The following is a 26,917-nucleotide window of genomic DNA, read 5'->3' as shown; positions in this document are numbered from 1 at the left end:
CAGAGGAATAGGTTAGAGGCTATTCCATTTCATGACTTCACAGAGGAGGCTGTGCCCTTTGGCAGCTGAAGAAAGCAGCGCAGTGCCTGGCTGTGCAAGTTGAGCTTGAGGTGGAGATTTGGGGTGAGAGGTGAAGCCACAGCCCCAGGTGGGAGAGGGTCTGCCTTGCTGGCAGCAAGGGGAAGCAGGGCTCAGAGGGCCCTGGAATTCCCACCAAACCCCATGCAGTCCTTCTTTCTGGGGGTGACTTCTACAGAGGGGAAAGACTTTGCTTTTCACCTATCTAGGAGAGGCCCAAGCACTAACCCCCTGCTCCCTGGCCAGAACTGCTTATCAACCACATCAAAGCCTGTGGAGTTGGAAGGGAGCCACAGTGTAGTCTGGGTCTAGTCTTCATCAAGTGAAGCCACAAATGGAGGTCTTTTTATTTTTTTTGGCCAGCCCCAAAACAAACAGGACTGAGGATAAGGGGAAAGGAAGGTGAGAAAAGAGGAAAACATCACAGTCTGGTCCCAGCAGCCACCAACCTGAGGGTCTCTTCCCACCCAGAGGGCAACAGAGGAGAGAGCAGACACAGTTGTGCCTGCCAGCGTGGCACTCACCTGGGGAGGCCAGCCTGGAAAGGGATGTCTGCAAAGCTGTGGCTGAGCTGAGCAATGATCCTGTCCACTTCTGCATATAGATGGGCTTCCAGGGCAAAGCTCCGGTGCTGGGCACTCTGAAGATGCTGCCGGCGGGGGAGAGGAGCACAGGGCATTAGATGAGGCCTGGGGGGAGGGGGACACGGAAGCTGACCTCCCAGCCCATGCTCTGGCCCTGGAGGACAGCCATAGCAGCATAGAGATCGCATAGGAAGGACTCATCCCCAGTGAGCAGGCTCCCTCAGGGCACTCTGGGAGCAGCTGCTTAATGGGGAAGGGGCTCACCACATGGAGCTCCTCGAAGGCCTCCTGACAGCACTCGCAGTAGCCTTTCTTCCTCCTGGGCATGGTGTGGGCAGCTGATCGTGGGCTTGGCTCTCCATCCTTGGATTCTCTGGGGAGGGTACATAGTGCGGCAAAGTGGTTACTGCTGGGGCCCTTGGGGGGAGGAGCCACTACTTAGAGCCTGGAGCCTAGGTCAGGGAGGGGAAGGACCAAGATGGCCAAGGGGCTGTGCAGGCACCGGCAGGCAGGCCTTCCCTGAGCTTGGTACCAATCATCTAAGAATGGCAAGAGGGGAACAAGGAAGAAGACGTCTGGAGACCTCCCTGTGGGCAGCCTGTCTTATCTCTGTCCTCTCTCTCTTTTTTTTTTTTTTTTGAGAGAGTCTAGCTTAGTCACCCAGGCTGGAGTGCAGTGGTGCGATCTTGGCTCACTGCAATCTTCACCTCCTGGGCTCAAGCCATTCTCCTGCCTTAGCCTCCAGAGTAGCTGGGATTACAGGCGCCCGCCACAATGCTCAACTCATTTTTGTATTTTCAGTAGAGACGGGGTTTCACCATGTTGGCCAGGTTGGTCTCAAACTCCTGACCTCAGGTGATCCACCTGCCTTGGCCTCCCAAAGTGCTGGGATTACAGGTGTGAGCCACCGCGCCAGCCATCTCCGTCCTTCTCTTAAACGACAGGTGAAGATGGGATGGTGACGGCAGCAGCAAGAATCCCTTGTAGGAATTCCAACTCTGTGCTCAAACCTACACCCACATTCATGAGACCTGAAAGATGAAAGGGAAAAGGTCTCAACCACAGTGAAGGGACTGCTCTTCTTTTCCACCCTGAATGTCTCCCCAGCTTGGTTCAGTCTGTCCCTTCTCTCATGCTGCCTTGGATCTCTCACAGCTGTCCTCACTGTCCGCTAGGATTTTCAAACCTTCCTCAAACCTGACTTCTTTTTTTTTTTTTTTTTTTGAGATGGAGTATCGCTCTGTCACCCAGGCTGGAGTGCAGCAGCATGATTTCGGCTCACTGCAACCTCCACCTCCTGGGTTCAAGTGATTCTCTTGTCTCAGCCTCCCGAATAGCTGGGATTACAGGAACACACCACCACGCCTGGCTAATTTTCTTTCTTTTTTTTTTTTTTTTTTTTGTATTTTTAGTAGAGACAGGGTTTCACCATGTTGCCCAGGCTGGTCTCAAACTCCCGACCTCAGGTGATCTGCCCACCTCAGCCTCCCAAAATGCTGGGATTACAGGACTGAGTCACCACATCCGGCCAAGCCTGAATTCTTATCTGAATATCAGCCCCATATTTCTAACAACCAAAGGGCATTTCTATCTGGCTGTCCAGCAAACTCGACAAGTCCAAAACACTCCTTTTAAAGACTTCCTAAGTATGACACAAACCCCAGAAGATATACAGAAAAACTCATAAATTCAGCTATATACAACTTTAAAATATGTATGCATGGCAAAGAATCATTAGCAAATGATATGGTTAGGCTTTGTGTCCCCACCCAAATCTCATATTGAATTGTAATCCCTATAATCCCCAAGTGTCAATGGAGAGACCAGGTGGAGATAACTGAATCAGGTGGTTTCCCCCATGCTATTCTCGTGACAGTTCTCATGAGATGTGATGCTTTTGTAAGGGGCTCTTCCCCCTTCACTCAGCACTTATCCCTCCTGCCACCTTGTGGAGAAGGTGCCTTGCTTCCCCTTTGCCTTCCATCATGATTGTAAGTTTCCTGAGGCCTCCCCAGCCATGCTGAACTGTGAGTCTATTAAACCTCTTTCCTTTACAAATTACCCAGTCTCAGACAGGTCTGTATAGCAGTATGAAAATGGACTAATATAGCAGAGTTAAAAGACAAACCACAAACTTGGGGTTTTCTTGTCTTTTAAAAGTATTTACAACTTCTCTGCTCAGGGAGGCTTAGGAAAAAAATATATATATTGATTTATTTACAACTGCCAGGTACAGTGGCTCACACTTATAATCCCTGCACTTTGGGAGGTCAAGGTGGGAGGATCACTTGGGCGCAGGAGTTCGAGACCAGCCTGGGCAACATGGTGAAACCCCACCTCTACAAAAAATATAAAAATTAGCCAGGTGTGGTGGTGCACACCTGTACTCCCAGTTACTTGGGAGGCTGAGATGGGAGGATTGCCTGAGCCTGGGAGGTGGAGGTTGCAGTGACCAGAGAAAAGAAAATATTTACAACTAATAACAAAGAGCTCATTTTTCTAATATGAGAAGGGCTCCTTACAAATCATTAAAGTGATCAATAACCAAATAAAAAATGGGCAAAGTATAAAAAGAAGGTTCACATAAAAAGAGATTCAAACAACCAAACATATGCAAACTTACTTAGCCTCATTCATAGTAAGAAAAAACAAAAATTATAATTATACTGAGATACAGTTTTTAATCTGTTATACTGGAGGTCAGCATATCTGCCAGTCACAGCATGAGGCAAGGGGATGGGAAACAGCCTCTCTCATGCAGTGTAGGTAAACATATAAGTTGGTATCCGCTCCATGAAAAGCCATTTGGCTGAATTTATCAAAATTATAAATGCATATATCTTTTAACCCAATATTTCTACCTTTAGGAATTTATTCCACAAATGAGCAATTGCAAATTTACTCTGAACATGATTTTCATTGGAGCTAATCTAAGCATCCATGAATAACAGACTGGTTAAATAAAATACAGTAAATACATTCCATACAATGGAATAATGGATACCCTGCAGCCATAAAAGGGAATGCAATTTTTTTTTTTTTTTTGAGACAGGGTCTACTCTGTCACCCAGGCTGTTGTGCAGATTCACCACCTTGGCTCACTGCAACCTCTGCTTCCCATGCTTAAGCAATTCCCCAGCCTCAGCCTCCTGAGTAGCTTAGACTACAGGCTTGCACCACCATGCCTGGCTAATTTTTGTATTTTTAATAGAGGTGGGGTTTCACCATGTTGCTCAGGCTGGTCTCAAACTCGTGAGCTCAAGTGATCCACCTGCCTCAGTCTTCCAAAGTGCTAGGATTACAAGTATAAGCCACTGTGTCTGGCCAGATTTTTTAAAAATATAAAAATAGAGATGGGCGGGGGGGGGGGGGGGTGGTCTCATTATGTTGCCCAGGCTGGTCTCGAACTCCTGGCCTCAAAGTGATCCTTCCCCCTTGGCCTCCCAAAGTGCTGGGATTACAGGTGTGGTCTATCTCCAGAGATAGTTCATGGATATATAGGTACATGTGTATCCTTCGTTCCCTCTTCTTACATAAAGAATCATATAGGCTGGGTGTGGTGGCCCACACCTGTAATCCCAGCATTTTGGGAGGCTGAGGTGGGTGGATCACGAGGTCAGGAGTTCAAGACCAGTTGGCCAACATAGTGAAACCCCATCTGTACTAAAAACACAAACAATTAGCCGGGCGAGGTGGTGTGCACTGTAATCCCAACCACTCAGGAGGCTGAGGGAGGAGAATCGCGTGAACCTGGGAGGCGGAGGTTGCAGTGAGCAGAGATCACGCCACTGCACTCCTGCCTAGGCAACAGTGTGGGACTCATTCTCAAAAAAAAAAAAAAAAAAAAAGAATCATACAGTATTGACTATGCTGGATGTTACTTGCTTTTTCTTTTCATGCTGCCCCAGGCTGCACTCTCCATTTGGCAGGGGTGAGGCACCACTCGGATCTCCTCCAGCCTCTACCCCTGGGAGGAAGGTTGCACCAGTGAGGGGATAGAACTGGAGGCTGGGTGTGGAATATAGACTTTTCACATTAAACCATTTGTAACACAAATTTTAAACTTTTTAAATTTAAAAATTTTTAAACTTTAAAATATAATAATGATTTCAAAAATGTAAAAATTTAAACACTTCTTCCTACACATATTTTCCACATACACACGTGCCTGGAACTTTGATGTCCCACCAGGGCCAACTCCCTGCCTAGGCGCCTCACATGCAGATACCAAAGCTTCATTGCTTCATCTTCCCTTTACAGCCTCTTAGCTCCTCTGTGATCCCAAGGCCATCCCAGGCCTAGCATCACTGCCAGCGCCAAGCCTGGGCCACCTTCTGACTGGCTCTCCCTGGTATCCCTTGTATTGGGACTTAACCTCACCTCTTTCTCTCTTTGCTCCCATTTCATCTACTGCCACATTCCCTTAATTTTTTCCCTCCTATTTGTACTATTTTCTTACCCACAGCCTTTGTCAGCTGATGGAAACCACAGAGCCTCCTTGGCCCCAGGAACTCCAGGGCTGAGAGTCTGCTCTGTTCTCTCCTGGTCTATAACCCCACAGCCCAGAGGTTAGAAAGGGTCTGAGAAGGCATCTCACCCATCACCTGAGCTGAATTCCTTCTCTACTTTGGTTAATGAGGGTTCAAATTCTCAAACATCTGCAGAGTAGAAACATTAACAAGCCCACAAGCCATGAGCCACGTAATGCAGCGATCTTCTCCCCCGCCCCGCCCCTTAGTTATTCCTGATGTTTGGCCCAACCAGTTTAAACTTTGATATTCACTGAAATCACATGAGAGCTTGTAAAATGCAGCTTTTGGGGCTCCATCATCAGATATTTTGATTCTATAGATATGGGGTGGAGTTTAGGAACCTGCATCAGGGTTTCACTCTGTCACCCAGGCTGGAGTGCAGTGGCACAATCATAGCTTACTGCAACCTTGAACTCCTGGGCTCAAATGATTGTCCTGCCTTAGCCATCTGAGTAAGTGGGACTACAGGCACTTGTCATCACGCTTGACTAATTTTTTTTTTTTTTTTTTTTTTGAGAAGGAGTCTCGCTCTATCACCCAGGCTGAAGTACAGTGGCGCAATCTCAGCTCACTACAACCTCCGCCTGCCGGGTTCAAGCCATTCTCCTGCCTCAGCCTCCCAAGTAGCTGGGATTACAGGTGTGCACCACAATGCCTGGCTAATTTTTTTTTTGTTGCATTTTTAGTAGAGAAGGGGTTTCACCATATTGGCCAGGCTTGTCTCAAACTCCTGACCTGAAGTGATCCGCCCCCTTAGCCTCCCAAAGTGCTGGAATTACGGGCATGAGCCACTCTGCCTGACTCATAATTTTTTACATTTTTATTTTTATTTTTTGTAGAGGCAGAGTCTTGCTATGTTTGTGTGCCCAAGTTGGTCTCAAACTCCTGGCCTCATGTGATCCTCCCACTTTGGCATCTCAAAGTGCTGAGATTACAGGCATCAGCCACTGTGCCCAGCTAGAACTTGTATTTTTAATTAAAGAGACCCCAGGGGACTCTGATAATGGTGGTCTATAGATATGAGTTTGAGAAAGCGGTCTATTGTCTTCTGTGTATACTCGGTAAACCCTGCCGAGTGAGGTAACTGCTGGGTGCACCATGTCTGGTTGCAATGGTCCATGCTCTGGGGGAAACAGTGCAGGCCAGGGGTTCTGGGCGGACAGGGTAAGAGTGCTGTATCTCAGCAGTGAATTAACAAATAGGTCTTCTTCGACCCTTAAGGAGAAGGGGGTGCCCTTCACAACCCTGGCACCTCCCTTTCTTCTTCAAGTTAAATTCTTCAGTACGGATGAAGAACACAAAATAAAATGGATGAACGCTCCTAGTCTCTCTTCTCTGGGCTACGTTCCCAGAATAGACTTTGCCTAAGGAGCAAACACATGGCCATTCCCAAATCTGACCAGCAGGCCCCCGATGGGGAGGACTTTGGCCTGTAACCAGCCCTTGGTACTCAGGAACCAGAAAGACCCACCTGGTATGGTGCATGCTGCCCAGGGTCGTCGGGGCCTCAAAGGGACTTGCATCTTTGGGTCCAAGAAAAGAAATTTCAGGAAAGGATTTAAACTGATGATGGAAAGGACGAAACTTCCTGCAACAGAGAAAACTTCCACTTTGACTACAATGGGGAAGGTAAAGGCTGAGGAGGGGGCCTCGCCCAATGCCCTAGAATTCCAGCCCTGATAAAGTGGACTCTCACCTCCACATCTTTTAAATTCTATAACAAAACTCATCAGCCTTTCTAGGTTAAATTAATACATATGTTCTCCCTGTCTACTTTTCTTTTTTTTTTTTGAGACAGAGTCTCGCTGTCGCCCAGGCTGGAGTGCAGTGGCGCGATCTCGGCTCACTGCAAGCTCCGCCTCCCAGGTTCACACCATTCTCCTGCCTCAGCCTCCCGAGTAGCTGGGACTACAGGCGTCCGCCACCATGGCCGGCTAATTTTTTGTATTTTTAGTAGAGACGGGGTTTCACTGTGTTAGCCAGGATGGTCTCGATCTCCTGACCTTGTGATCTGCCCACCTCAGCCTCCCAAAGTGCTGGGATTACAGGCGTGAGCCACCACGCCCGGCCCCTCCCTGTCTACTTTTCAAACTCATACCACTGCCTCCCTGGAATCCTATAAGCACCCTCTGGGCTTATCCTATTTTATATCTAAGGAAATGAAGCCCAAGAGGTTCTGTGACTTGCTCAAGGGCTCACAAATAGTTAAGCAGCCAAGGTCAGATCAGAAGCCACATCTCCAGACTCCTGATCTACTTTTCCCCACCTTCCCATTTGTTTCTTGACCCTACAACAATCTTTGAGGACTCTAGCCTGGCAGATTCTAAATGGAAGAATGTTTAAACCAGAACAGTTATTTCCCTGTTCTGTGAAGTGTTCTTGCTGGTCCTTAGAACTATCTGAGGGCTGGGTTCTGAAAGGAGAAGACAGGCACAGTGAAGGTTCTGGATAGTCAGACCTGGACTGAGTGGTTCTGGCAGTGTGCCTCAAGTTGCAAACATTTAAGAGATTTGCAGAGACAGAAGTGATCTGTGTATACTTCGCAAACCCTGCCAAGTGAGGTAACTGCCGGGTGCACCATGTTTGGTTGCAATGGTCCATGTTCTGGGGGAAACAGTGCAAGCCAGGGGTTCTCAGGGAGCAGGGTAAGAGTACTGTAGCTCAGCAGTGAATTAACAAATAAGTCTTCTTGGACCCTTAAGGAGAAGGGGGTACCCCTCACAACCCTGGCATGTTTCTTTCTTCTTCAATGATATTGTTTCTGCTTAGGGGGCTTGAAACTTGAGGATGGGCAGGCTAATAGGCCTAATAGGCTTTGAATGCACCTGCTTCAAAACAGCACATAAAAAAAAAATCACAAGAGGCTGGGCACTGTGGCTCCCACCTGTAATTCCAGCACTTTGGGAGGCCAAGGCAGGTGGATCACCTGAGGCCAGTTTGTGATCAGCCAGGCCAACATGGCCAAACCCCGTCTCTACAAAAAATACAAAAATTAGCTGGGCGTGGTGGTGAACACCTTTAGTCCCAGCTACTCGGGAGGCAGAAGAATCGCTTGAATCTGGGAGGCAGGGGTTGCAGTGAGCCGAGATTGTGCCACCGCACTCCAGCCTAGGTGATGGAGTGAGACTCCGTCTCAAAAAAAAAAAAATTTCACAAGAAATCTCAGCTCCAGTTGGATCTCCTCTCTGGCCTATAATGCCAGGAATATGTGTACCCCTCTCTGGTGACAGTGATATACCTGTGCCTGCCATGTGCAGTGCAGATACTGAGGCTGTAACAGTGCCTTTCAGCCGTTGCATATGTGTCATGATTACCTACATTTAAATAGGTGTGAAGGGGCTGGGGATGAACACGCAATCCATCCCACTGGAACTGGAAGACAGCACCTCTGTACCATCCCATTGTTCTCTCCACTTGCCTTTGGGCCACCAAAGCCAGCGCAGCACTGTCTGCAGGTGCTGAGAAGTGACCCTGGGCTTGTCTGGAGGATGGGCAGGCATGCCAGGCTCCTAGGGCTGGTCTCAGCTGCCCTGCCCTTCCCTGTCTGAGGCACACAGACAATTCTGTCCTCAGTAGTCTCTGCTGGATACACATGGACTTATTTCCTTTAAAAAATTTATTTAGTCTGAAAATGCCTTTTTGGAAAAAATATTAAAAACAAAAATTTAAATTTTGAGATAATTATAGATTCACATACACTTTCGATCTTGTACTTACTGAAGATTCAGTGATAACCAACATGGCTGCTAATAGCTCATTAGGTTAACATTGTCATGGGACCCTCCTGCTCCGAGGGAAGAGGAGATCATAATGGTGGACAGAGAAGACACAAGACAGGGTAGGCAGGACACCTGGATTCTAGCCTTAGGCTGCAATTTATTAGCAAGGTGGCTGTACACAAGTCCCTTCCTTTCTCTGACCTCAGTTTTCCCCATTAGGAAGAGATGGGCTCTCCTCATGCTTTTTTCACCCAGGGCTGTCAGGAGGTAACATGAGCCAGAAAACGATTTTCAAAGTGAAACAGAAAGGCTTTATCAAGTACAGGGTGGCCTGACAAGGGAATCCCCAGTACCACCCCTAGCACCCTAATTTCAGCCAAGATGATGTCTTGGACTATACTAGCACTGTGACTGGGTAATGATTTGACATGAAATGTCAGCATACACCCAAGGGGAAAGGAGTTGCAATAATGAGCCTGCATGGGACACCATGAGCTCATAGAGCAGAGTATTAAATGGAGGTAATTCACACACAGGATCATTAACCTCTGACTCATCTCCAAGAGGACTATTCACTGTATAATGCCACTCTGAGGCTCCTCCTGGTTTGCATGAGACTTCTCCATGACAATGGGAGAAAGTGGCTTCTCAGGAAGATGAAGGTGCAGGGTTAAGGGGCTCCATGTCTTCACATTAGCTTGAGGCCCCTGAGCACCCCTCCCTCCTCCCTCCTCTGTGCAGGCCTAGCTGGGGCAAGCAGAGAAAGGAGGTCCCACTCACCTGCTTTCATCTTCGATTTTGAGGAACGGGGCCTTCAGTCTGGCCACTGAAAGGGGAAGAATGCACACATCAGCTATCTGTCTGCCCCTGTGCAGGGCCTGCACCACACATGCAGGAAATGCTGAGAGGGAAGGCTCTGCCAAAGCCTAAGAGCCTTGCAAGAGCTGGAAATCATGCCACCCCAGGCTGCGCTCTCCATTCACTCAGATCTCCAGCCTCTACCCCTGGGAGAAAGGTTGCACCAGTGGGGGGATAGGCTGCAGTTAACACTGAAGCCCTAGATGGGCCCTTCCTCTGCAGGACGCAGGAGCTCCTGTGTGTGGATTCTGGAGGCTATCGACCAACCAAAGATGCCACCACCATCAGACACCTGGCTGGTTTGGTGGGAGAAACCCAGCCCCTGATGGCTTCTGCTAAAAGCAGGGTGGGGGTGGTCATTCCCACAAAGTCCCAGGTCCTTCCTAGCCCTTTGCTTCTGGAGCCTCAGGATACTGAGGGGCCTAAGATCAACTCCCAGGCAGAATGCTCCAGGAGGACCCTGGGTTTTTTGGAGGGGAAGCAGAGAGGAAGAGGGATAAAGAGTGTTTAGTGGTCTTATTAGCAGGATGGTAGAAAAATATCACAGGTAAAATCTGATTCCTGAAAAAATAGGGCAAAGGAGTGCTGAGAAGATGAATTTGGAGTCAATTAAGAGACTCACCCCTATTAGATAGTTATTCGCATAGCTTACAAAATCCCTTAGGCATCAGGACCCACAGTGACCAGGAGTCCTGTCGAAGGGGCAGCCAAGGCAGCTGAAATCCTGGGCCCATCTGACAGCCATAAATTCCCCAAAGACGCTGGCACCTTACAGCTCCCAACTGTACTTGAGGCCACCAGTAGCACCCAAGCAAAAAGCAGCCTTTTCTCCTTTAGCAGCAGCTCTCATTAATTACTTTTTGGGGACAATTTCTTGTCTTTCTAATTAACTGAGACAGTTATTAAAATCAATTCCCCTACAGACTTCCTTGAATTTTGAGCATGAGAGAGGTGCCAAGTGACTTTTCTTAGCTCCTGCTTGTGCATGAATAAATGCCACTGAAAGAGCATCTTTGGGAGAAACATCCAGGGGGAGCAACTCTCCTGCTGTCCAAGAGGAACCAGGAGACGGAGTCCATCAATCTGCCAGTTTGTCAGTTTCACGGAGTTTGGCAGTTCTGAAAACGGTAGGCAGCTGTCAAACTGCCCACCCCCAAACTGCTACTGAATCAGAAGGAAAAGGATGCTGAACCTCAATCGATGCCCAGGAACAGCCAGAGGACACAGGAGCCAAAGTGTCTGCATGGGGTCTTGGCTCTAAAGGAGAAGCCCCGGCCCAGCAGCTCTGGACTTGCTCTTGGGCATGCCTCTCTCGCTCCAGAAACCTGAGGACCAGGCCCTGGAAACACAAAGGGGCAAGATAACCTGGACTCGCTTGCTGCCACAGAAAAGTGAGCAGATGCTGCCACAGAGGGAGTCGTGGGGAAGTGTTTAGGGAGGGAGGGATTGCAATTAGATGAGGAAAAGCTACCACACTGACCTTTCCGTGTTCTTGACTCTGCTGCTGGACATGTTCCCTAAATGGAAAGGAAAAATAGGTTAAGGATGTGAGGAAGCCACGGGGGTCAAGGAACTGGGCCTGATAAGCCAAGTGGCTGCCAGTCTGTCCCACTTTGCTTCCTGCTGTTGAGAGGCCTGCAGAACCAGACTCTCAGGCCCTGAGCTGGAGCAGACCTGGGCACAACGGCTCCCTCTTCGGCAACACGATGAATAAGGGGGGCACTCGGTGTGTGAATCTTAATGGCAGCTGACTGTGCAGGGAGTGCAGGACAGTACAGAGAGCAAGAACTCTGGAGTCCCAGAGGCCTGGTGGGTACTTCAGCTCTGCCACCTGCAATGTGAAGAGTACCCACCGACCTCATCGCATGTGGCACAGAATAGATGCTCACTAAATGGCAGCTTTATTTTCTAGGTACTGATGCTGTTCCAGGTACCCTATAGGACTAGGATAAAGACGATAGCCATTTGCTTTCCTATGTCCTATCTTGTGTACTCTGATCCTGTGGGTCAAAATCAATGTTTAAGCCAAGGTCAAACAAAGCTGATATTAAAAAGTAAATGGAGGCCGGGCGTGGTGGCTCACGTCTGTAATTTCAACATTTTGGTAGGCCGAGGCAGGTGGATTGCTTGAGCTCACAAGTTTGAGACCAGCCTGGGCAGCATAGTAAGACCCTATCTTTAAAAAAAAAAAAAAAAAATTAGCCAGGCATGGTGGCGCATGCCCGTAGTCCTAGCTACTTGGGAGGCTGAGGTGGGAGGATGGTTTGAGCCCAGGAGGTGGAGGTTGCAGTGAACAGAGATGGCGCCACTGCACTCCAGCCTGGGCGACAGAGCCAGACCTTGTCTCACAAAAAAAGTAAAGTAAAATAAACAAATAAAATAAAAAGAAAAAAGAGTAAATGGATCTTCTGGTATATACCTGAAAAATAAGTAAATAAATGTAAGATAAATGGAATAAAATAAAAAAATCAGCTTTAGCTGGAGGGCCAGGATGATGGTGGATCCATGACCACCTGTGCCTCTGGGCCTTAAGAAGTTCCAGATTCTCCTCTAGGCCACACCTTGGGGGCAAACACAATCCAAAGAAGCCTCTCACATTCCCTTGCGTATCAGCACATTACACCCAAAACTCACTTCACTGCTAGATATCTACAAAACTAATTTTTTTTTCTTTTTTTTGAGACAGAGTCTCACTCTGTTGCCCAGGCTGGAGTGCAGTGGTGTGATCTCAGCTCACTGCAACTTGTCTCCAGGGTTCAAGCGATTCTCCTGCCTCACCCTCCCAAGTAGCTGGGATTACAGGCATGCGCCACCACACATGGCTAATTTTGTATTTTAGTAGAGACAGGGTTTCACCATGTTGGCCAACTGGTCTCAAACTCCCGACCTCAAGCGATTCACCTGCCTCGGTCTCCCAAATTACTGGGATTACAGGCGTGAGCCACTGTGCCCGGCCTACAAAACTGATTAAGTTAAAGTAAAAATGCTGTGTATCTGCATAGAAGGGGGGAATTTTTGACATATTTGCTTCTATGTGCATAGAGTCCTAGAAACTGTTCACACTTTCAGGGAGGAAGGTCAGTGGTTGAGGAGAAGCTGGAGCAGGGCGAGAATTTTTGTTGTATACCCTTTTGAATTTTGAATAACACAAATTTAACAGCAGCAATGTCCCCAACACTCCTAGAGGAGAGGGTGTGGAGAGGGCGTCAGTGTCTGAATGCTCCATCCACTATTTTTTTATGTTTTTTTGAGACAGAATTTTGCTGTCGCCTAGGCTGGAGTGCAGTGGTGCGATCATGACTCATTGCAACATGTCTCCTGGGTTCAAGATTCTCCTGCCTCAGCCTCCTGAGTAGCTGGGATTACAGGCATGTGCCACCACGCCCGGCTAATTTTTGTATTTTTAGCACAGTCGGGGTTTCACCACACTGGCCAGGCTGGTCTTGAACTCCTGACCTCAAGTGATCTGCTGGCCTTGGCCTCCCAAAGTGCTGGAATTACAGGTGTGAGCCACCATGCCCAGCTGCTCCATCCACTTTGGATGTGGCTTGCTAGTTCTGTTAGCTAATTAGCACTGTTAACTAATAGCTATTACTGTTCGTCCTGTGCCTGGATGCCAGGCTGTGGGTAGATCTGTAGATTTAATCCTTCCTCAGATTGAGGCTTGGGTGAAGATACTGTGGCTTTAAACCAGGTTGGGCTCTCTTGATGTAGTACACACAGTTCTAACGCCAGCAAAGAATGGAAAACAAACAAGGATTTAGAAGATGGCAGCTATTTCAATCACTCCTTCTCACCCCTGCAGTATGCAGACTCGTTCCCAGTCTAGAGGCTGTACAGGGAAAGTTCCAGAATAGCAGCCTGGTCAGTGCCATGGGCATTTATGAACTTTATCTGGTCCAGAACTACTGTAGGGAGCCCATGGCCCAGGCAGTCCAGGCCATAGGGATGTCTCAGCAGGGTGTGTGCCATGGGAGGACTGCAAGTGCCACAGAGAAGAGAGAAGAAAGGGTGTTGCAAAGCTATGGGCACTAGGACTGAGGTAAATAAGAGGCTGCATTCCTCTTCCATCTTTCAGAATGGCCAGGAAGAGATGGTTTGGGTGGGCCATGGATTTACCTAAGTTGTCACTGATTTCATTGAAAACCATCCATTTGTCCTTCAGTTCAGCAGGATGACCTACCTCTGGCTTCTTTGGCTGTTGTTTTTTCACACATAAAGACGCAAGAGACAGCTGTTGCACGTGCATCATCATTTCTGTGGAGAAGACAGAGGGTTTGTGCCAAAGGCTTCCAGTCTTCACTTACCTAGCACAGCCCCTTCCTGGGCTGCAGGACTAAACTCGCTGGGCCAGCCCACTGAATCACTCCAGCCTTGCCTGCCACCTTCTGGCTACACATCCCCTCTGCATCTCCTGACAGCGGAGGTTAAGGACTGGGTCCTCTATCCCTGGAACAGCACCTGAGCGGGTGTCATGCTCTTTTGCAGCATTGAATACAACTCATCTTTGAACAGAAGGTGCCTCATGGCTTGCTAAGGACTTTAAGGCACCACTGAAGAGCTGTGGCTGTGAGGGAGGCCATGCTGTGTGAACTACTCAGCTGTACCCTCAGGTGAAAGACCAGCAAGGGCTAAACATGCTAGCACTCCTCTAACAGAGAAAGGCAGGGAAGGAAATCAAGTCAGAAATGGCTGATTTTTCAGTGAGATGAAGCCCTCCACATCCCAGACCAGGAACTTCCCCTGTACAGCCTCTAGACTCCCCTGGAAGATCTTGGTACCAAGGGGTGGGGCAGCGCCCCAGTCAGCACCTATGGGCTGTCCCATCTGGACCAATCCTCTAAAATGGATCACAGAAAACTCCAGACTCAAGAATGGAGCTGGGTATGAAACCACTCACTGCCACCTGGTTCAAGACAACTATTCTAGTGTAAACAGGCTGCAAACAGGTTGTTTACAGTGTGAAAAAAGAAGGAGCACAAAATTTACAGCTGAGTAAAACTGAGAGTGGTGGGCCACACTACACACTCTGGTGAGACCATGGACAATTTGCCTAATCCCTTTGAGGCTCAATTTCCTCATCTGTATAATGGGGACAGGACTGTAGTGAGGATTAAATGAGGTAATTCGTAGCACAGAGTCAATACCTGTTAGGTGGCCATGAATTTTTTTTTTTTTTTTTGAGACGGAGTCTCGCTCTGTCGCCCAGGCTGGAGTGCAGTGGCGCAATCTCGGCTCACTGCAAGCTCCGCCTCCCAGGTTCACGCCATTCTCCTGCCTCAGCCTCCCGAGTAGCTGGGACTACAGGCGCCCGCCACCACGCCCGGCTGATTTTTTGTATTTTTAGTAGAAAAGGGGTTTCACCGTGTTAGCCAGGATGGTCTCGATATCCTGACCTCGTGATCTGCCTGCCTCGGCCTCCCAAAGTGCTGGGATTACAAGCGTGAGCCACCGCACCTGGCCGAATTTTTTTTTTTTTTTGAGACGGAGTCTCGCTCTGTCACCCAGGCTGGAGTGCAGTAGCATGATCTTGGCTGACTGCAACCTCTGCCTCCTGGGTTCAAGTGATTCTCCTGCCTCAGCCTCCTGAGTAGCTGGGATTACAGGCACGCACCACCAGGCTCGGCTAATGCTTCTATTTTTAGTAGAGACGGGGTTTCACCACGTTGGTCAGGCTGGTCTCGAACTCTTGACCTTGTGATCCACCCGCCTTGGCCTCCCAAAGTGCTGGGATTACAGGTGTGAGCCACCTCGCCTGGCCAGTGGTCATGAATATTAAGATCATTTCTGCATTTGTAAAACAGGATCATCATACTAGCTGGGGGAGAGCTGTAGCAGGTGACATGAAACGGCATGTTCTAGGGACCTCCTGCGGGATGCCGAGGCCACAGCCTGCACTCTGCGTCCTCACCGCTTTCCCCCTTCCCCACATCCTCCCACCTTTGTGGATCAACATGGCAGCTGAGTATTTCTGGCTTCCGGTGACCAGAAGCTCACATGACCATGATCCTTCTAAAAGCTGACACTCCTGGTCAAAGTCACCAATTCTCCCTCCACAGGAGCCCAGCACAGAAAGGGTACCATCCACGTGCAGAATCCTCACTCCCCAAGAGCGGGCATTGGTCAGGAGGCTGCTGCTGCCCCCACTGCCTCCTCCACTGATGCTCCCCTGAAATTACAACACAGAGTCAGGTAGGAGCAGAGACTCCCCAAGGCCTGAAAGTGAAGGGGACAGATAGAAATTGCTTCTGGGAGGCCTGAGTCATCCATGGGAGGGACTGCAGGGAGGCAGGTAGGAGAGAGAGTACAGTGCCCAGAGAGTCCATCCCAACCCCCAGGAAGACATCCTGTCCTCCACATGGCCACATTGGGAGAGGAAGGACCACTGGTCTGCCTATACATTGTGCTCTGGCCACCTCGTGACCAGGAAGGAACAGATGCTTCTGAGAGAGCTGTTCGTTGGGAGGGCCTCTGCGAGGAAAGCTCTCAGCACAGTAAGTACACAACAAACACGGTGACCATCATCCTCACTGAGCATGAAACTATGCTAGCTGCAGATCTTCCCCCTCCACTGGCTCAGTCCAGCAGCACCACCTCCCCCATCACAGCCATGTACCCCTCCTGATGTCACCAGCATGACTCTTCTCACAAGATCACCTTAACTCCTCCTCCTGCCACTAAACTTTAACAGCCCTGGATTTTCACACAAGGAATAAAGAGTTACTTGTTTTTTGTTTTTTTTTTGAGACAGAGTCTAGCTCTATCGCCCAGGCTGGAGTGCAGTGGCACAATCTCGGCTCACTGCAACCTCCACCTCTCAGGTTCAAGTGATTCTTCTGCTTCAGCCACCTGCGTAGCGGGGACTACAGGTGCGTGCCACCACACCCTGCTAATTTTTCGGTAGAGATGGGGTTTCGCCATGTTGGCCAAGCTGGTCTTGAACTCCTGGCCTCAAGTGGTCCACCCACCTCAGCCTCCCAAAGTGCTGGGATTATAGGCGTGAGCCACCACACCCAGCCTAGAGTTACTTGTAAAAGAAGTCTGGCTTCTGTACCCAGCAACCCTGTCCCGCCACATCCCACATCCCCACAGTTCTCTTGGTAGGCTCCAGAGTTGGAGGTGGCTCTGGCTTCAACACTTACTCTCTAGGTGAATGGCTAAATAACTTGTCTGAGCCTCCACTACCTGATGTAGAAGAAGGAAATAATGACAATACTACATATCGCAGAGTGTGCATTTTGTGTGGGTGCTTCAGAAGAACCTGGGAAGAAGAGTGAAATCCCTCCCTATGCTGGAGACCACCGGCTCTGTCCCATCTTGCCCCAGCTCACCTGGTTTCTGATAGCCTTCTGCAGCAGCTCCTTCCCTCTGCTTAGAGGCACCTGACAGGGACAGAAGAGCAGTGAGGTCTGCTGTTAGGCCACCTGTGCACTGAAAGATGTTTACACAGGAGCTGGTGAGGGGTTATGTCTTGGGGTTATGTCCCTCGGAAAGCTGGGAGCAGTGACAACTGAGGATTGGTAGAAATGAGAGCCTAGAAAACGTTTAGGAGGTAAAGGTAAAGCCACAGGAAATTTAGGTCACCCTGAGGTGGCAGCCTGAACCTGGTGGAGAGAAGGGCACTCTGAATTCACTGAGATCCAATTGTTACAAATGTCCTGAGACCCTCTTTAAGAGTCTCTGCACCCTCCAGGAGATAATGAAAGCAAATGTTTCACTTTAGAAATTTTTGCTCGTAGGAAGTCCCATCTGTCATCACAATGCCAACAGTGTATGTTCATGGACATTTTAATATTAATATGTTAGACAAAATAAGAATGCAAGCCTAGAGGGGAAAAGCCATATTCCATTTTAAATCAAAGACATAACATGTGTATTGTCCAAACTCTTGGCCCTTCATACATGCAAGCAAGGAAGAAGGGAATGGCTGCCTACTCAGGGTACTCCTGCCCAAGCGCAGACCAATCCCAACACGTCTTCTCTGGTTTATGAAGACTCTCCTCTGGTTTCTAAACCTCTGACTTTCAAGTCCCGTAAAAACTGACATAAGGCATAAAAGGGTAGCATGGGGGATAGTATGTTGCTGAGGTGTTTAGATCCAGAGCTATGATAAAATATTCTCAGTCCCTGAATTCAAATGAGAGATTAAATTAATCCAGATGAAATTAAAACCAGAGACTGCCTTAAAAGGCTCACCAAAGCCTACTTCCTTTGTTTACACAGCATACCTTTCCTACATGAGGTTCTTACCGAGTCAACGGGTTTCCGTGAAGGCCTGGGGTGGCTGCCTTTTGGATCAACCATGGCCGATGTTTCCACTCTGACCTCACTGGGGCTAGGGCTAGGGCAGCCTCTATGGCTTTTCCCACTGCTCTCTGCCTTTACTTCTCTGCGGCTGGACACGATGTAACTTACTTCTTTGCTCAGAAAACCCTCAATTACCTGAAACCAGATCACAGAGGTGGCTGAAAACCAAAAAGCAAATGCAGAATTGTCAATATAAAGAGGCTGGAGAAGGAAATCTTGGCTGCCAGGAGTTCCAGAATCAATGTCTTTAAATAGACTAAATGCAGTTTCATACCAAGTTCCTAAGAAGACATCATCCTGAAATCTAATGGGGTGTGTGTGTGTGTGTGTGTGTGTGTGTGTGTGTGTGTGTGTGTATGTGTATTACAGGTTTTGTCTACAGGACTGCTGCCCCTGACCCAGTGGCAGAAGGCTGCGGGCTTTGAGTTCTATGAGCAGTTTGAGTTTGCATGCAGCAAGAACACACTGAAAGAGCTGGAAAGGATTAAGACTAGATTGTGTAAGCTGTGATTTTTCTGTGTAAGACACACTGGGGACCAGGTGTGGTGGCTGATACCTGTAATCCTAGCACTGTAGGAGGCTGAGGTGGGAGGATCAATTGAGGTCAGGAGTTCAAGACCTGCCTGGGCAACATAGTAAGATCCTGTCTCTAAAATTTTTTTTTTTTTTAATTAGCTGGGTGTTGTTACATGCACCTATAGTCCTAGCTACTTGGGAGTCTGAGGCAGGAGCATCACTTGAGCCCAGTAGTTCAGTGATGCAGTGAGCTATGACTACACTACTACACTCCAGCTTGGGGAGTGAAATCCTGTCTCTAAAAAAAAAAGAAAAAAAAAGGCTAAAATGGCTTATTTTATGTTATATACACTTTACCACTATTAAAAAAATTAGTTATGAATTGAAGGATTACATTTACCTTTTTTTTTCTTTTCTTTTCTTTTTTTGAGACAAGGTCTCACTTTGTCTCCCAGGCTGTAGTGCAGTGGCATGATCTCGGCTCACTCTAATCTCCACCTCCCGGGTTCAAGCAATTCTCCTGCCTCAGCCTCCCAAGTAGCTGGGACAACAGGTGTGTCCCACCACACTGGCTAATTTTTGTATTTTTAGAAGAGATGGGGTTTCACCATGTTGGCCAGGCTGGTCTGGAACTCCTGACCTCAAGTGATCTGCCCACCTTGGCCTCCCAAAGTGTTGGGATTACAGGTGTGAGCCACCGTGTCTGATCACATCTACCTTTTTTTTGTCACCAGGCTGGAGTGCAGTCATGCGATCTCAGCTCACTGCAACCTCCGCCTCCCAGGTTCAAGCAATTCTCCTACATCAGCCTCCCGAATAGCTGAGACTACAGGCGCATGCCACCACGCCCAGCTAATTTTTGTAATTTTAGTAGAGATGGGGTTTCACCATGTTGGCCAGGATGGTCTCGATCTCTTAACCTTGTGATCTGCCCGCCTTGGACTCCCAAAGTGCTGGGATTACAGGTGTGAGCCACCGTGCCTGGCTGCATCTACCTTTTTTAATACAGCAAAAGCAAATGCTAGAGGGTAGGAGTAGGGCAATCAATGATTATCCTATATAAATATAGGAGATTGTTAATGACCATATATTCCTCCTCCCATCCCAGTATACCCACTCCTTTGCAATATGACTTTGCTCTTCCTGCCATTAGGAGGTGGGACCTACTTTTTTATGCCCTTCAATCTGACTCGATTGGACCAATAGAACATGTGGAAATTATGATGTGTGAGTTCTGGAGCCTAGGCCTCAGAGGCCTTAGCTTCCTGCCTCACTTTCTGGGAAGGTGGCCTTGAGACCACCATGTTAAATCAGCTAGTTTAGCTTATTGCATATAGTTATGATAACTGACACAGAGTGCCAGATGTGTGAGTGAGGCCATCTTGGTCTTTCCAGCCCAGGTGACCGTCCAGCTGAATCCAGCCTCAGGAGTGAGCCCTGCTGAAACCACCAGATAAACCACCCAGCCAACCCACAGCATAATGAGAAATAATAAATTGTTGTTTTGGCCAGGTGTGGTGGCTCATGCCTGTAATCCTAGCACTTTGGGAGGCCAAGGCAGGTGGATCACCTGAGGTCAGGAGTTTGAGACCAGCCTGGCCAACATGGTGAAACTTCGTCTTCACTAAAAGTACAAAAAAAAAAAAAAAAAAAAAAAAATTACCCGGGCATGGTGGCAGGCACCTGTAAACCCAGCTACTCTGGAGGCTGAGGAAGGAGAATCGCTTGCACCTGGGAATTGGAGGTTGCAGTGAGCCAAGATCGCACCATTGCACTCCAGCCTGGGCATCAAGAGCAAAACTTTGTCTAAAAATAAATAAATAAATAGAAAATAAATTGTTGCTTTAAGCCCAAGTAGGGTTGGTGTTTTACATAGCAAAGGCTAAATGACAGAAAGGACTAAAAGTTCAAAATGTAATTATGGGCCAGTTTGGTTATATAATCCTCATTCTATCCATCCTCACCACTGAGTTTCTGCAGTCCTGAGTTTCTGGGTTTGACAGCAAAGAGCCTCTCCATTCCAAGCCCTATTCATCCAGTTTCCCCAGTTATTAGTCTCTTTTGGGTCAAGCACTATCATGCTGTTTTCTTTTTTTTTTCTTTTTGAGACAGAGTCTTGCTCTGTTGCCCGGGCTGGAGTGCAATGGCACAATTTTGGCTCACTAGAACCTCTGCCTCCCGGGTCCAAGCGATTGTTGTGCCTCAGCCTCCCGAGTAGCTGGGACTACAAGTGCGTGCTACCATGCCCTGCTAATTTTTTTATATTTTTAGTAGAGACAAGGTTTCATCATGTTGGCCAGGCTGGTGTAGAACTCCTGACCTCAGGTGATCTGCCCACCTCAGCCTCCCAAAGTGGGATTACAGGCACGAGCCACTGAGCCTAGCCTAAATATATATATGGTTTTTTTTTTTTTTTTTTTTTTTTGAGATGGAGTCTTGCTTTGTTGCCCAGGCTGGAGTGCAGAGGCACGATCTTGGCTCACTGCAACCTCCACCTCCCGGTTTCAAGCAATTCTCCTGCCTCAGCCTCCCGAGTAGCTGGGATTACAGGCGCATACCACCACACGCAGCTAATTGTTGTATTTTCAGTACAGATGGTGTTTCACCATGTTGGCCAGGCTGGCCTTGAACTCTTGGCCTTAAGTGATCCGCCCGCCTCGGCCTCCCAAAGTGCTGGGATTACAAGTGTGAGCCACTGTGCCTAGCCCCTAAAAATATTTTAATGGAATCAAATATAGCAAATGCTTTTTACTCAAAGTTGTTCACCTGTGTTATTTCTAAATGCTAAAAATTATTAAGAGTCTAAATGTCCACAGAGCAACAGTTAAGTAAATTAATAATCCACTCAAAAGAATATTATATTCCCACCGCAAATGATGCATATGAAGGGCAATAATGGTAGAAAAGTGCTAACGCTTTAAGGTTATGGGTAAAAAATTGATAATAAAAATGTACTAACGCCAGCTGGATGCTGTGGCTCATGCCTGTAATCCTAACATTTTGGGAGGCTGAGGTGGGGGGATTGCTTGACGCCAAGAGTAAAAGACCAATCTGACCAACACAGCGAGACCCTGTCTCTAAAATTAAAAAAAAAGTACTCATGATCATAGCTAGAAAAAAAATAAGCATTGCCCTGCCCCTCCCAGCCTTGCCCTCAGCTCCCTCTTGCAGGCAACTGGGTAAGGCAAAAATAAATAAATAAATAAATAAATAAATAAATAAATAAATAAAAAAGGGCCGGGTGCGATGGCTCACACCTGTAATCCCAGCACTTTGGGAGGCTGAGGTGGGTGGTTCACCTGAGGTCAGAAGTTCGAGACCAGCCTAACCAACATGGAGAAACCCCGTCTCCACTAAAAATACAAAATTAGCCAGGCATGGAGGTGCATGCCTGTAATTGCAGCTACTTGGGAGGCTGAGGCAGGAGAATTGCTTGAACCCGGGAGGTGGAGGTTGCAGTGAGCTGAGATCGCACCATTGCACTCCAGCCTGGGCAACAAGAGCAAGACTCCGTCTCAAAAAAAAGAAAGAAAAAGGGCCAGTAGCAGTGCCTCAGGCCTGTAATCCCAGTACTTTGGGAGGCTGAGGTGGGAGGATTACTTGAATCCAGGAGGTCGTGACCAGTCTGGGGCAACATGGCGACACTCTGCCTCCACAAAAAATACAAAAATGAGCAGGGCATGGTGGCGAGCACCTGTAGTCCCAGCTACAGGGAGACTGAGGCGGGAGGATCACCTGAGTCTGGGGAGGTTGAAGCTGTAGTGAGCCATGACCGCGCTCCTGCATTCTAGCCTCTGTGACTGAGTGTGGCCCCCTCTTAAAAAAAAAAAAAAAAAAAAGAAGCACAAAAAAACAAAGGCAGGATGGAGGCAGAAGGTAGATGGGCATTACCAAGGGCTAGGAGTATCAAGGATATAGGGAGTTGCCCAAGCATATAGGGAGTGACTGATAATGGGTACAGGGTTTCCTTTTTGGGGTGATGAAAATGTTCTACAATTGACTATGCGATCATACAACTTACACATTTCTGTGAATATACTAAAAACCACTGAGCTGTGTACTTTAAACGGATGAATTTTATGACATGTGAATTATATCTAAATTAAGCCATTATGAGAGGAAGGGAGGAAAGAAAAATACTTAAAAATGCTGGTTGTCACTTGGAGTAGTTCCATGTTCTCTAAAATTTCTAGAGTGAACAGATAATATGTTTGTTTATTTTAACATTATTTTTGAGACATGGTCTTGCTCTGTCATCCAGGCTGGAGTGTAGTGGTGCAATCATAGCTCACTATAGCCTCAAACTCCTGAGCTCAGATAATCCTCCCAGCTTAGCCTCCTGAGTAGCTGGACTACAGGCATGTGCCACTGCCCCCAGCTAATGTTTTTTTTTTTTTTTTTTTTTTTGAGATGGAGTCTTGCTCTTGTTGCCCAGGCTGGAGTGCAATGGCGTGATCTCGACTCACCGCAACCTCTGCCACCTGAGTTTAAGTGATTCTCCTGCCTCAGCCTCCTGCATAGTTGGGATTACAGGCATGTGCCGCCACACCCGGCTAATTTTGTATTTTTAGTAGAGACAGGGTTTCTCCATGTTGGTCAGGCTGGTCTCAAACTCCTGACCTTAGGTGATCTGCCCACCTGGGCCTCCCAAAGTGCCGGGATTACAGGAGTAAGCCACCGTGCCCGGCAGCTATAATTTTATTTTTCGTAGAGATGAGGTCTCACTATGTTGCCCAGGCTGGTCTCAAACTCCTGGACTCCAGCAATCCTCCCACCTCAGCCTCCCAAAGTGTTGAGATCACAGGTATGAGCCACCACAACTGGCCATTAAGTTTCCTTTTTTTTGGCTGGGCATGGTGGCTCACGCCTATAATCCCAGCACTTTGGGAGGCCAAGGCGGGAGGATCACGAGGTCAGGAGATCAAGACCATCCTGGCTAACACGGTGAAACCTCGTCTCTACTAAAAATACAAAAAAAATTAGCCGGGCGTGGTGATAGGCGCCTGTAGTCCCAGCTACTTGGGAGGCTGAGGCAGGAGAATGGCATGAACCCGTGAGGCAGAGCTTTCAGTGAGCTGAGATGGCGCCGCTGCACTCCAGCCTGGGTGACAGAGCGAGACACTGTCTCAGAAAAAAAAAAAAAGTTTCTCTTTTTTTTTGAGACAGGGTCATGCTGTGTCACCCTAGCTGGACTGCCTCCCGGGGCTCAAGCGAGTCTCATGCCTCAGCCTACTGAGTAACGGAGACTACAGGCATGTGCCACTGTACCTGGCTAATTTTTGTATTTTTAGTAGAGACAGGGTTTTGCCATGTTGGCCAGGGTGATCTAAACTCCTGGGCTCAAGAGATCCACCTGGCTCGGCCTCCCAAAGTGCTAGGATTACAGGTGTGAGCCACCGCACCCAGCCTTTTTTTGAGACAAGGTCTCACTCTGTTGCCCAGGCTGGAATGCAGTGGTGCAAGACCTCGACTTCAGCTCACTGTAACCTCCGCCTTTTGGGCTCAAGTGATCCTCCTACCTCAGCCTCCCAACTACAGTCATGCACCACCACACCCGCTTAATTTTTTGTATGTTTTGTAGAGACGGGCTCTCGCCATGTTGCCAGGCTGATCTTGAACTCCTGGACTCAAGTGATCTGTCCTCCTCAGCCTCCCGAAGTGCTGGGAGGACAGTCATGAGCCACTGTGCCCAGCCTAAGTTTCTAATAAGGAAAAAGATTTATCTTTATTTTTTGAAGGTTATTTATTTATCATTTTTTTTTTTTTATACAGAGTCTCACTCTGTCTCCCAGGCTGGAGTGCAGTGGTACAATCTCGGCTTACTGCAAACTCCGCCTCCCAGGTCCAAACAATCCTCCTGCCTTAGCCTCCTGAGCAGCTGGGACTATAGGTGCCCACTATGATGCCTGGCTAATTTTCATTATTTTTAGTAGAGACAGGGTTTTGTCATTTAGGCCAGGGTAGTTAGTCCCTAACTCCTGACGTCAAGTAATCCACCTGCCTTGGCCTCCCAGAGTGCTGGGATTACAGGTGTGAGCCACTGCGCCTGGCCAAAAAAATGGTTTATATTTAAAATTGCTTTCGGAAATGTAGTGAGACCGCTGAAAATACCTGGAAACTGCTGGGTGTGGTGGCTCACGCCTGTAATCCCAGCACTTTGGGAAGCCGAGGTTGGCAGATCATGAGGTCAGGAGTTCAAGACCACCCTGGCCAACAAGGTGAAACCCCATCTCTACTAAAATACAAAAAATTAGCCAGACGTGGTGGTGTGTGCCTGTCATCTCAGCTACCTGGGAGGTTGAGGCAGGAGAATTGCTTGAACCCGGGAGGCAGAGGTTGCAGTGAGCTGAGATCATGCCACTGCACTCCAGCCTGGGTTATAGAGCAAGACTCTGTCTCAAAAAAGAAAATACTTGGAAACCATAGATATAATCCCCATCCAACTCCTGCTCTAAGCCTGCAAAGGCACATGGCATCGCAGGAGAAGAGCAGGTTACCTACCCCACCCAGTTGCTGAATGGCCCCCGTCAAAAACTGGAGATTCTTGCCAGCAGGCAGATCCAAGTAAAAGGACTTTCCGGAAAAGGGATGCTTCCTGGCACCTGGTGAGTTCTTCTGGCATTTTCCTAGACACCTGGAAACTCCTAGAAAACAATAAAGAGGAGCAAAGTAAGAAGTTTGAAAAGAGAGTCCTGAAGCCAGGTGGCCCTCACTGACAGCTCAGTCTGTGTGCTATAATAGCACAGACTAGACCCTGGGCACACACAGACAGCTGTGAAGCCAATGCCCTTACCCTCAGAAGCTCAGATGTGGTGAAATTGGAACCTTCCAAACAAGATAATAAGCAAACAAGGCTTGCTGACTTCTTCACTTCTTCCTTAGAATCTAAATCTAGGGAAGCCATTTAAGTAAAAAGAAATTAGACAGATCCCCAAACCAGACATTGGGGGGCTGCAGTGAATAGTAAACTAGGGAAAAGAGGGCCGAGATTCACACGGGGGTGCCAGGCAGGAGGATGCTTTCTAGCTGTGCTGAGTGAGTCACTGCCTGCCCTGTTGCCAGTGCCCAGCCCCTAACCAGAGTCAGCAGGGTAACATCATGGCAGTGTTGCCGCCTAGCTTAGGGCGAATATGCATGTGTATTCGAGACAGATAAGAGGAAAAGGGGACAGTGAACTTGTTGGCTCCTGAATGGGCCTACTTCCCAACCTCTGCATTTGGTAACTTAGGTAATTATAACTCAAAAAGACAGCTCTTGAAAAACAACAAGACAAAGTGTGTGTGTGTGTTGGAGAGCACAGAATGCTGCTGCAAATGGAGAGTGAATGAGCCCATATTCCAGGGGCTTTGCACCATAGTGGGGTCGTTTCCTTTTTTTTTTTTCCCTTTTGAAACGGAGTTTCGCTCTTGTTGCCCAGGCTGGAGTGCAATGGCGCGATCTCGGCTTATCGCAACCTCCTTCTTCCAGGTTCAAGCGATTCACTTGCCTCAGCCTCCCCAGTAGCTGGGATTACAGGCATGCACCACCATGCCTGGCTAATTTTGTATTTTTAGTAGAGTCAGGGTTTCTCCATGTTGGTCAGGCTGGTCACAAACTCCCGACCTCAGGTGATCTGCTCGCCTCGGCCTCCCAAAGTGCTGGGATTACAGGCGCGAGCCACCATGCCTGGCCAGGGTTGTTTCCTCTTCTATGCAACCTCCAATCCCTAAACTCAGCGGAGGGACACACGAGATAGGGCATAAGCTTTTGATCTTCCTTCGAGCAGCACGTTACCAATCAGAGTGGCTAATGTCCCAAAGGGATATTTGTGTATAAGAAAACATGAGGCAACTGAAGAAAGCAAGTACTACCAAAGAAACTTTATCTGGTATAGATTGTCTATCTGTCATAATAATGAACCAGATAGGAAAAAGAAAAACCATTGAAGTATAATAAATATCCTCAAAAAGGCTAGGGAGGATACAGGAAAACATAAAGCAGGAACAGCAGTTAAAGAAAAGAATTAGGCCGGGCACAGTGGCTCATACCTGTAATCCCAGCACTCTGGGAAGCCGAGGTGGGCACATTACTTGAGGCCAGGAGTTCGAGACCAGCCTGGGCAACATGGCAAAACCCTGCCTCTACTAAAAATAGAAAAATTAGCTGGGCATGGTGGTACACACCTGTAATCCCAGCTACTTGGGTGGCTGAGGCACAAGAATTGCATGATCCTGGGAGACAGATGTTGCAGTGAGCTGAGATCATGCCACTGCACTCCAGTCTGGGTAACAGAGGGAGATTCTGTCGCAAAAAAGGGGAGGGGGGGGGAAGAATTAGTTGGAGA

General features: G+C 48.1%; 1 protein-coding gene and 1 long non-coding RNA gene across 25 annotated transcripts in view; one reads left to right on the top strand and one right to left on the bottom strand.

The window, feature by feature from the left end:
* The window catches only part of DBF4B (DBF4B-CDC7 kinase regulatory subunit), a 43,600-nt gene that overhangs the window by 4,147 nt on the left and 12,536 nt on the right, over positions 1–26,917 (bottom strand). For 7 of the 24 annotated variants that reach the window (NM_145663.3, NM_025104.4, XM_047436820.1 and 4 more), the window contains 10 exons: positions 25,096–25,238; positions 18,022–18,213; positions 17,103–17,153; positions 15,853–15,940; positions 13,955–14,028; positions 11,252–11,288; positions 9,694–9,739; positions 6,666–6,782; positions 927–1,035; positions 603–727 (listed from right to left, as the gene is read on the bottom strand). In NM_145663.3, the coding sequence (NP_663696.1) occupies positions 603–727; positions 927–1,035; positions 6,666–6,782; positions 9,694–9,739; positions 11,252–11,288; positions 13,955–14,028; positions 15,853–15,940; positions 17,103–17,153; positions 18,022–18,213; positions 25,096–25,238 (982 nt within the window). Of the gene's footprint in view, positions 1–602; positions 728–926; positions 1,036–6,665; positions 6,783–9,693; positions 9,740–11,251; positions 11,289–13,954; positions 14,029–15,768; positions 16,770–17,102; positions 17,154–18,021; positions 18,237–25,095; positions 25,239–26,917 lie in introns of those variants that run through there. The other 17 variants (XM_047436812.1, XM_047436811.1, XM_047436816.1 and 14 more) reach the window with 7 other exon arrangements.
* Positions 7,211–14,025, top strand: LOC107985044 (uncharacterized). Its single transcript, XR_001752906.1, has 3 exons — positions 7,211–7,755; positions 10,695–11,162; positions 13,937–14,025. It is a non-coding gene; the product is annotated as an uncharacterized LOC107985044 (long non-coding RNA).

Source organism: Homo sapiens, chromosome 17, assembly GCF_000001405.40.
Source record: "Homo sapiens chromosome 17, GRCh38.p14 Primary Assembly".
NCBI lineage: Eukaryota > Metazoa > Chordata > Mammalia > Primates > Hominidae > Homo > Homo sapiens.
The sequence above is the reverse complement of the archived record's forward strand: the minus strand, read 5'-3'. Positions and strand labels throughout refer to the sequence as shown.